Source organism: Homo sapiens, chromosome 6 (assembly GCF_000001405.40).
Source record: "Homo sapiens chromosome 6, GRCh38.p14 Primary Assembly".
Classification (NCBI taxonomy): domain Eukaryota; kingdom Metazoa; phylum Chordata; class Mammalia; order Primates; family Hominidae; genus Homo; species Homo sapiens.
Genome location: NC_000006.12, coordinates 152,957,089 through 152,968,932, shown reverse-complemented (window position 1 = coordinate 152,968,932; position 11,844 = coordinate 152,957,089). Strand labels below are relative to the sequence as shown.

General features: G+C 38.5%; 1 pseudogene; it reads left to right on the top strand.

Moving 5' to 3' along the window:
- The first annotated feature begins 9,154 nt into the window (after positions 1–9,154).
- On the top strand, positions 9,155–9,656 carry C11orf98P2 (C11orf98 pseudogene 2; annotated as a pseudogene).
- The last annotated feature ends 2,188 nt before the right edge of the window (positions 9,657–11,844 follow it).

The window sequence follows — 11,844 nt, the reverse complement described above, 5'->3', positions numbered from 1 at the left end:
ACAAAGAAGAGCTGGTACCATTCCTTCTGAAACTATTCCAAACAATAGAAAAAGAGGGAATTCTCCCTAACTCATTTTACGAGGCCAGCATCATCCTGGTACCAAAACCAGGCAGAGAGACAACAAAAAGAATTTCAGGCCAATATCCCTGATGAACATCAATGCAAAAATCCTCAATAAGATACTGGCAAACTGAATCCAGCAGCACCTCAAAAAGCCTATCCACCATGATCAAGTCGGCTTCATCCCTGGGATGCAAGGCTGGTTCAACACATGCAAATGAATAAGCGTAATCCATCACAAACAGAGCCAATGACAAAAACCACATCATTATCTCAATAGATACAGAAAAGGCCTTCAACTAAATTCAACAGCCCTTCATGCTAAAAACTCTCAATAAATTAGGTATTGATGGAACATATCTCAAAATAATAAGAGCTATTTATGACTATCCCATAGCCAATATCATACCAAATGGGCAAAAACTGGAAGCATTCCCTTTGAAAACCGGCACAAGACAAGGATGCCCTCTCTCACCACTCCTATTCAACATAGTGTTGGAAGTTCTGGCCAGGGCAATCAGACAAGAAAATAAATAAAGGATATTCAATTAGGAAAAGAGGAAGTCAAATTGTCTCTGTTTGCAGATGACATGATTGTATATTTAGAAACCCTGTCGTCTCAGCCCAAAATCTCCTTAAGCTGATAAGCAACTTCAGCAAAGTCTCAGGATACAAAATCAATGTGCAAAAATCACAAGCATTCCTATACACCAATAACAGACAGCCAAATCACAAGTGAACTCCCATTCACAATTACCACAAAGAGAATAAAATACCGAGGAATACAGCTTACAAGGGATGTGAAGGACCTTTTCAAGGAGAACTACAAACCACTGCTCAAGGAAATAAGAGAGGACACAAACAAATGGAAAAACATTCCATGCTCATGGATAGGAAGAATCAATATGGTGAAAATGGTCATACTGCCCAAAGTAATTTATAGATTCAATGCTGTCCCCATCATGCTACCATTGACTTTCTTACAGAATTGGAAAAAACTGCTTTAAATTTCATATGGAACCAAAAAAGACCCCGCATAGCCAAGACAATCCTAAGCAAAAAGAACAAAACTGAAAGCATCATGCTACCTGACTTCAAACTATACTACAAGGCTACAGTAACAAAAAGCATGGTACTGGTACCAAAACAGATATATAGACCAATGGAACAGAACAGAGGCCTCAGAAATAACACCACACAACTACAACCATCTGATCTTTGACAAACCTGACAAAAACAAGCAATGAGGAAAGGATTTCCTATGTAATAAATGATGTTGGGAAAACTGGGTAGCCACATGTAGAAAGCTGAAACTGGATCCCTTCCTTATACCTTATACAAAAATTAACTCAAGATGGATTAACGACTTAAACATAAGACCTAAAACCATAAAAACTCTAGAAGAAAACCTATGCAATACCATTCAGGACATAGGCATGGGCAATTACTTCATGAACAAAACACCAAAAGCAATGGCAACAAAAGCCAAAATTGACAAATGGGATCTAATTAAACTAAAGAGCTTCTGCACAGCAAAAGAAACTATCATCAGAGTGAAAATGCAACCTACAGAATGGGGGAAAATTTTTGCAATCTATCCATCCGACAAAGCGCTAATATCCAGAATCTACAAAGAACTTAAACAAATTTACAAGAAAAAAACCCCATCAAAAAGTAGGTGAAGGATATGAGTAGACATTTCTCAAAAGAAGACATTTATGCAGCCAACAAACATACGAAAAAAAGCTCATCATCACCGGTCATTAGAGAAATGCAAATCAAAGCCACGAGGAAATACCATCTCATGCCTGTTAGAATGGTGATCATTAAAAAGTCAGGAAACAACAGGTACTGGAGAGGATGTGGAGAAATAGAAAAGCTTTTACACTATTGGTGGGAGTGTAAACTAGTTCAACAATTGTGGAAGACAGTGTGGCGATACCTCAAGGAACTAGAACCAGAAATACCATCTGACCCAACAATCCCATTACTGGGTATATACCCAGAGAGTTATAAATCATTCTACTATAAAGACACATGCACACGTGTGTTTACTGTGGCACTATTCACAATAGCAAAGACTTGGAACCAACCCAAATGCCCATCAATGATAGACTGGATAAAGAAAATGTGGCACATATACACCATGGAACACTACGCAGCCATAAAAAAGGATGAGTTCATGTTCTTTGCAGGGACATGGATGAAGCTGGAAACCATCAATCTCAGCAAACTAACACAAGAACAGAAAACAAAACACCACATGTTCTCACTCATAAGTGGGAGTTGAACAATGAGAACACATGGACATGAGGGGAAGGGGGTGGCATCACACACCAGGGCCTGTTGGGGCTGGGGGACTGGGGGAGGGATAGCATTGAGAGGTGACAGTGTGCTGGCAGTCCTCACAGCCCTCGCTCCCTCTTGGCGCCTCCTCTGCCTGGGCTCCCACTGTGGGGGCACTTGAGGAGCCCTTCAGCCCGCCACTGCACTGTGGGAGCCCCTTTCTGGGCTGGCCAAGGCCGGAGCCGGCTCCCTCAGCTTGCGGGGAGGTGTGGAGGGAGAGGCGTGGGTGGGGACCGGGGCTGCGCGCGGTGCTTGTGGGCCAGGGCCAGTTCCGGGTGGGCGTGGGCTCAGTGGGATTACAGTGAATCTATAGACCAATTTATACAGAACTGACATTTAGCAACCTTGAGTTTTTCAATCCATTAACATAGAGTTCTTCCACTGATTTCCATATTTCAAAATCTCTCTTAGCAAAGTTTTATCTTTTCATTGTATGTCTTGTGCACTTTACATCAGATTTATCCCTGTTTTTTGTGCTATTGTAAATGGCATTTTAATTTCAATTTTCAATGATTTATTGCTAATGTATTGAAATACAATTTATTCTTATATTGATCTTGTATTCTCCAACCTTGCAAACCTCAGTTATAATTGAAAGTCTATCACTTGTTCTCTGTAGGTGATTTTTGTCTTCTACAAATAAATACAGTTTTATTTCTTCCATTTCAATCTATATGGTTTGTATTTATCTTCCTTGCCAATTTGTACTGGCTAAAACCTCCAGTAAAATAGAAATAAAAAATGTTGATGAAGATACCCTTGCCTTGTTCCAGATGTTAGGGGAAAACATTCAGAATGATGTTAGCTGTAGGTTTTTCACATATCCTCTTATCAAGATGATGTTCCATTTTATTCCTAGTTTGTTGAGAATTTTTATCAGAAATGGCTGTTGGATTTTGTCAACTTTTTTTCTCCATCAATTCATATGACCATATGGTTATTCTCTCTGGATTCGTTAATATGAATTACACTGATTGATTTTCAAATGTTAAAGCAATCTCGCATTCCTGGGGTTAATGCCACTTCATCACAATGTATTATCCTTTTTAAACATTATTATATATTTAAATATGTATAAATATATATTTGTTAAGAATTTGTATTTATATTTATGATGAATATTGGTCTGTAGCTTTCATACAATGTCTTTGGGACATATTCTTTTCTTTTCAATTTTCTGGATGTTTGTGTAGAATTGGTATTATTTCTTCTCTTACTATTGCTGGAATTGTACAAGGGAACCATCTGAGTCTGTCATTTTCTTTGTGAAAAGATGTTTGAAATACAGTTTTTTAATAGATAAAGGGCTATTCAGGTTATCTATTTCTTCTTGAGTGAGCTTTAGTAGTTTGTATATTTCAATGCATTTTTAATTTAATTTATTGTATTTATTGGAATAAAGTCATCACAATATTCTAGTATCTTTAATATTTATAGAATGTGTATTAATGTCATCTCTTGCATTCCAATATTGATAAATTCTGTCTTTTCTCCCCTTATACTGATCAGTCTGACTACAGGTTTATCACTTAGATGGATCTCAAATAACTCATTTTTGGTTTCAGATTTTTCCCTGTTTTTCCTTATAATTGATTTTTTGTTTTATTTCTTCTGTTTCCTTGTGCCTGAAGGACTTTAATTTGCCCTTTTTCTACATTCTTTTTCTGGATTCTTAAGGTAAATGTTGAGTTCATTGATTTCAGACCCTTATTCTTTCCTAATATAAATATTTAGTCCTAAAAGTTTCCTCCAAATTCTATTCTAGCGGCATACCACTAAATCTGATATTTTGTCCTTTTCTTTTTATTCATTTGTAAGTGTTCTATAATTTTCCTTTGGATTTCTTCTTTGATGTGTAGGTTATGTATAAGTCTGTTATTTACTTTTCCAATATTCTGGAATTGTCCATATATCTTTTTATTAACTTCTAATTTCATGGTGGTCAGAGAAAACAGTTGTGTGACTCAATTCTTACAAATTTATTGAGTATTTGTTTTTGGCCTATAATACGCTCTATGAAGGGAATATGGTGTGTTTTGCTGTTCTTTGGTAAAATGACCTATAAATATCAATTGGTTCAACTTGGTTGATAGTGCTCTCCATATCTTCTATATCCTTACTGATGTCTATCTATTTGTGCTATTATTGAGTGAGAAGTATTCAGATCCCTAGCTGTAATTGTGGATTTGTCTATTTCTTGTAATTCTATCAGTTTTTGCTTTTAAGTACAGATGCTCCTCAACAATGTGGTTATGTCTGGATACACCCACTGTTTGAACTTACAGTGTGTTTATCTGTGCACAACTTCATAAGTCAAAAAGCATACTGAATGTGTATCCCTTTTGCACATTGTAAAGTTGAAAATTTGTAAGTCAGAGGCTGTCTGTATTTTGAAGCTCTGTCATTAGTTGCATAAATATTTAAGATTATTATGTTCTCTTAGTGAAATGAACACTTTATCATTTTTAAATGACCTTTTTATCCCTGGATGTGGCTTTTCTATGGAATCTACATTGTTTTATATTAAAATAAGCACTCCAGTTTTGTTTTGTTTTTTGAAATTAATATTGGCATAGTATATTTTTTCATCCATTTTTAACTTTTTTTGTAGTTTTCTATGGTAGTGTGTTTCTTACAGACAGCATATAGTCAAGTATTCATTTATTTTTTTAATCTACTTCAAAAATGTTTGTCTTTTGAGATAATTAGACAATTTTCACTTGATGGGATTATTGATATGGTTGGATTTAAACCTACTTTCTTGATATTTGTTTTCTATTTGGTAATTGTTCTTTATTCCATTTTTTTCTCTTTTTTGCCATCTTTTGATTATTTTTATGGTTCCTTTATATCTAGTTTATTAGCTAATTAGCTATAATTCTATTTTGTGATTTTAGCTATTACCTCTGGATTTATAGTATTTCTTTTTAACTTGAGTCTAGCTTCAAATATTATTGTACCCTTTTATATATAGTATAAAACTGCCATACTATTTCTTCCCTCTAAGCTTTGTGCTGTTATCATACATGTTAGTGCAATATATATGTGTATATATATACACAAATATATACATACACTACATTATTTTTGTTTCTTTGTTTATCATCTAAGATATTTATGTAATGAGAAAGTTTTCTTATACTTGTATTTGCCCACACAGTTGTCATTTCTGGTATCTTCATTCCTTTGGGTAGAAATAAATATATTTCTATCTGATAAAACTTTCCTTGTGCCTGAAGGACTTCCTTTAATTTTTCTTATAATACAGATATGCTGGTCTTTGATTTTTTTCAGCCTATGTACATGTGAAAACATCTTTATTTTTGTCATTTTGAAGTTATTTTTAATTAACAAATGATTCTATATATTTATGGGGTACATGATGCTTTGATATATGTACACACACACACACACTGTAGAATGATTTAACATATCCATCACCTCACATACTTATCTTTTTTTTGTGGTGAGAACATTTAAAAATCTATGTTCTTAGCAGTCTTCAAATATACATACAATACATTATTATTCACTATTGCCTCCATGCTTCACAGTGGATCTCCAGAACTTATTCCTCCTATCTAACTAAGCTTTTTATCCTTTAACCAATATTTCTCCATTTTCCACCTCACTATCACCCACCCTAGTCCCTGGTAACCTCCATTCTACTCTGATTTCACATAAAAGTGAGATCATTCAGTTTGTCTTTTGTCTTTCTGTGCCTGGTTTATTTCACTTAGGATGATGTCTTCCACATTCATCCATGTTGTTGCAAGACTGCCATGTGGAAGGCAAGATATCTTTCTTTTCATAAGGCTGAATAGTATCATGCTATGTATATATATCACATTTTCTTTATCCATTTATCAGTTGATAAACACTTAGGTTGACTCCATATCTTTACTATTATGAATAATACTGAAATGAACATGGAGGAGGGAATATCTCTTCATTTCCTTTGGTAACATACTGAGAAAGATAATTGTTGAATCATACAATAGTTTTATTTTTAATTTTGGGGGGAACCTCCATACTGTTTTCCAAAATAATTATGCTAATTTACATTCCCACCAACAATGTACTAGGGTTCCCTTTTCTCCACATTTTTGTTAACACTTGTTATGTTTTATTTTTTTGATAAAGACTATTCTAGTGAGACGATATCTCATTGTGGCTTTCATTTGCATTTCCCTGATTGATTATTAGTGATGTTGAACATCTTTTCATATACCTGTTGGCCATTCACATGTCTTCTTTTGAGAAATATCTATTCAGGTTCCTACCCATTTTTTAAACTGGTTGTTTTCTTGCTATTGAGTTGTTTGAGTTTCTTAAATATTTTGGATATTGGCCCCTTATCAGATATGTGGTTTGCAAATATTTTCTCCCCATCCCATAGATAGTCTCTTCACTCTGTTGATTGTTGCCTTTGGTGTGCAGAAGCTCATTAGTTTGGTGCAATCCAATTAGTCTAATATTGCTTTTGTTGCATGTGTTTTTGGGGTTGTATCCAAAAAATTTTTGCCAAATCCAATGTTAAGAAGCTCTTTCCCTCTGTTTTCCCCTAATGGTTTTATAGTTTCAGATCTTATATTTAAGACATTAACCCATTATGATTTGACTTGTGTACTTGGGACAAGATTAAGGGTCTAATTTCATTCTTCTGGGTGTTGATATCTAATTTTCCCAACATATTGAAGAGAATGTCCTTTCCTTATTGTATGTCCTTGACAGCTTTGCTGAAAATCAGTTGACTGTAAATGTGTGGGCTCTGTTTTCTATTTCTTTGGTCTATATGTCTGCTTTTATGACAGTATGGGCTGTTTTGATTATTATACGTTTTTGGTACATTTTCAAGTCAGGTATTGTGATGCCTCCAGCTTTGTTTTCCTAAAAATTGCTTTGACTATTTGAGGTCTTTTGTTTTCCTATACAAACTTTAGGGTTGTTCTTTTCTATTTCTGGGAAAAGGTCATTTCACTTTTGACAGGGATTGCACTGAATCTGTAGATCACTGGGGTAATATGGACATTTTAACAATGTTAATTCCTCCAATCCATGAATACTGTATATATTTTCATTTGTTTTTCTCTTAAATTTATTTCATCAATGTTTTATAATATTCAGTGTATGGATCTCTCATACACTGAATGTATTTGGTTAATTTTATTTTTGGTTAAATGTATTTCTAAGTTTTTCATTAATGCTATCACAAATAGGATTGTTTTCTTGATTTCTTTTGTGAATAGTTTGTTGTTAGTGTATAGCAATGATACTAATTTTAATATGTTAATTTTGTATCCTGCAACTTTACTGAAATCAAAGCCAGTCAAGGACATTACAAAAAAAGACAATTATAGGCCAAAATCTCTGGTGAACATACATGCAAAAATCCTCAACAAAATACTAGTAAACTGAATTCAATAAGACATTAATAGGGTTATTCACCAAGTTTTTCACTTGATTTTGTGCTGCTATAACAGATTATCTGAAACGGGGTAATTTATAATGAACAGAAATTTATTGGCTCACTGTTCAGAAGGCTGAGAAGTCCAAGATCAAGGGGCTGACATTTGACAGGGACCTTTTTTGCTGCACTCTTTTATGACAAAAGGGCAAAGAAAATGCAAGAAGGCTGGGCGCGGTGGCTCACGTCTGTAATCCCAGCACTTTGGGAGGTCGAGGCAGGCGGATCACCTGAGGTCAGGAGTTCAAGACCAGCCTGGGCAACCTGATGAAACCCCGTCTCTACTAAAATACAAAAATTAGCCGGGTGTGGTGGTATGCACCTGTAATCCCAGCTACTCCAGAGGCTGAGGCAGGAGAATTGCTTGAGCCTGGGAGGTGGAAGTTTCAGTGAGCCAAGATCGTGCCATTGCACTCCAGCCTGGGGGTGACAGAGCTAGACTCCATCTCCAAAAAAAAAAAAAAAAAAGGGGGGGCAAGAGATTGAACTTGCAGCCTGAAGCCCCTTTGTAATCAACCTTAATCCACTTATAAGTGGTGGAGCCCTTATAGCCTAAACATCTTCTATTAGGTTCTACCTTTCAACACTATTAGATTGGAAATTAAGTTTCCAACAAATGCTTTTAATTAATTAATTTATTTTTGAGAGAGGGTCTCACTCTGTTACCCAGGCTGCAGTACAGTCGTACTATCATGGTTCACTGCAACCTCAATCTCCCAGACTCAACTGATCCTCTCACCTCAGCCTCCCCAGTAGCTGGGACTACAGGTGTACACCACCATGCCCAGCTAAGTTTTTGTTATGATTTTTTTTTTTGGTAGAGACAGAGTCTCACCATGTTACTCAGGCTGGTCTTGAACCCCTGGGCTAAAGCAATCCTCCCACCTTGGCCTCCCAAAATGTTGAGATTACAGGTGTAAGCAACGGTGCTCAGCCCACACATGCTTTTTTGAGGACACATTCAAACCATAGCCTTTTTGTTCCCTTGGGCCCCAAAATTCATGTCTTTCTTGCAAAATACATGCATTTCATCTAATAGCCCCCAAAAGGCTTAAATCATTCCAGCATCAACTCAAAAGTCCAAAGCCCAGAGTCTCATCTAAATAAGATATAGGCTAAAGTCAAGGCAGGATGGCAAGGAGGCAATTTACTTCAGGCATGAGCCTGTGGAATCAAGCAAGTTATGTGCTTCCAAGCGTTATGTGCTTCCAAAATACAGTGGTGGGACAGGCATAGCATAGACATTCCTGAGGCAAGATAGGTAGTCAGGGAAGTAACCATGTCTTTGGGATTCAGCGACTGCACCACAACAGCAAGCCCCACAACCATGTCCTCGGGAAGTGAAAACCACACCAATACAACAAACCCCAGGCGGAAGTACGGACCGCATATTGGCGTCGCCGAGCAACTGTGGGGGATCCCGGGGGGAAAAATCAACTGGCGCCGAACCGAGCTGAAGAAAAAGCTGATCAGCGCAGGCCGGTGTTGAACCGCAAGCAGCGTCTGAGGCACTGGGTGGTCGAAGCTGTGATAGATCAAGCGCTGATCACGCGGCACCACCTCAAGAAGCAGGCATCCAGTGCACGTGCCAACATTACTCTGTAGGGGAAGAAGCCTAGAAAACTCCTCCGGCAGATCCGGCTTGCCCAGATGGAGAAGGCAGCCATGGAGGTGGAAGCCCGTCAAAGCCAGCCAGGACTATCGAACCACAGCTCAAAATGCAAAAGAGGACAAAAGTCCCCCAGGACATAGAAATGAAGGACCTTGAAGATGAGAGCTAAACCTCTTCCACTAGAAGATTCTCAACTGGAGCCCAAAGGACTCAGTGGTTGTTTCAGAGGATGTTGACAAAAGCAGTGCCCCTTTTCACTCTCCATATTTCCTCCTTTCTAATGGCCTACTGACTTCCCCTGGAGGGATGTCTTTGGGAGAGAAGAGGGTACAGAAGAAAGATTGGAGAAGGGCCTCTCTAGCAGTCAACTCCATTTGTGATAAAACCCTGGCACTCTGGAAAACAAACAAACAAAGAGCACTCACTACTGGCTTCATAATCAAGCACAGAACTATCCTCAGTAGGAATTTTTCTTTTTTTCTTTTTTTTAGAGATGGAGTCTCGCTCTGTCGCTTAGGCTGGAGTACAATGGCATGATCCCGGCTCACTGCAACCTCTGGCTCCCAGGTTCAAGCTATTCTCCTGCCTCAGCCTCCGGAGTAGCTGGGACTATAGGCATGCGCCACCATGCCTAGCTAATTTTTGTATCTTTAGTAGAGACGGAGTTTCACCATGTTGGTCTCGAACTCCTGACCCAGTGATCCACCCGCCTCAGCCTCCCAAAGTGCTGAGATTACAGGCATGAGCCACTGTGCCTGGCCAGGAAATTTATCCTGTAGACAGTATGCACATTTTAATTTTACTTGTCCGCAGACTGACTCATTGCTCATTATAATAGTAAAAAACACACCACTGGGAGGAGATTTAAGATGTGAATGGGACCCACAGTATATAAACAAACATGTACATGGCTGGGCATAGTGGCTTACACTTATAATCCCAGCACTTTGGGAGGCCAAGGTGGATGGATCACTTGAGGTCAGGAGTTCGAGACCAGCCTGGCCAACATGGTGAAACCCCATCTCTAGCAAAAGTACAAAAATTAGCCAGGTGTGGTGGCACGTACTTGTAATCCTGGCTATGTGGGAAGCTGAGGCAAGAGAACTGCTTGAACCTGGGAGGTGAAGGTTGCAGTGAGCTGAGATTGCCCCACTGCACTCCAGCCTGGGCGACAGAGTGAGACTCCATCTCAAAAACGAAAACAAAAACAAAAACAAAGCAAGCATGTACAGCTACTGAGCATGTGTACCCAGAGAACACCTGTAATATACTTACTATTAGGCTGATGTAAAAGTAATTGTGGTTCTGCCATTAAAAATACAGCAAAAACTGCAATTACTTTTGCACCAACCCAATAGCAATGTCTTTTCCCACCCCCTTATGAATGATCATGTAAGACTTCCATAAAGAGAGTTTCCCTTGTAATAGTCAATGCTGTCTCACTCTCGAGCAGCCTACTCTGACTCAGCTCTCAGAGTGTACTATTATTGCTTTTGCACCTACCTTTCAGAATATACTTATTCTTTTGCAATATATTGCTTCATGCTGTTTATTGCTGTGTGTCTCTTGTTTAAATTCTTTTAACCTAGAAGACAAAAACCTAGGATTCACAATCACCATCAACATTCCCATTCCAAAAGGGAAAAATAAGCAAGGAGAAAGAGATAACTGGTCCCAAGAAAGTCCTAAAGCCAATGTGGTAAACAATGTTATCGATTTAATTTTTTTAGACAGGCTCTCACTCTATTGCCCAGGCTGAGTGCAGTAGCTAGATCACAGCTCACTGTAGCCTCAACCTTCCAGGCACAAGTGATCCTCTCACCTTGGCCTCCAGAGCAGCTAGAACTGCAGATGCACACTACTATGCCTAACAATTTTTTTTTTTTAATAGGGTTAGGAGTTTGTGCTATGTGGCCCAGGCTAGTCTCAAACTCCTGGGCTCAAGCAATCCACCCACCTCTGCTTCCCAAAGTGCTGGGATTATAGGAATGAGTGTCACTGAGCCAGGCCAACAACATTAAATTTTAAAGCTCCAAGAATAATCCTCCTTGACTTTATGCCCACCTTCTGGGTACACTGGGGTGGGAGTTGAGCCCCTAAGACCTCAGCTAGTCCCACTCCTATGGCTTTGCTGGGTATATGGGTTGGAGTCAGGTGACTGCAGCTATCCCAGGCTGGTGTTGCACATTGTAATTCTAGTGTCTTGGGGGTGGACCCACCTTTATAGCTCTACTAGCCATTGCCCTAGTGGGGGCTCTCGACGGTGGCTCCAGCCCTGCAACCGTCTACTGCCTGTGTTCCCAGGTAGTCCCTAATGTTCACTGAAATCCAGGTGGAGGAAACCATTCCCCCACAGC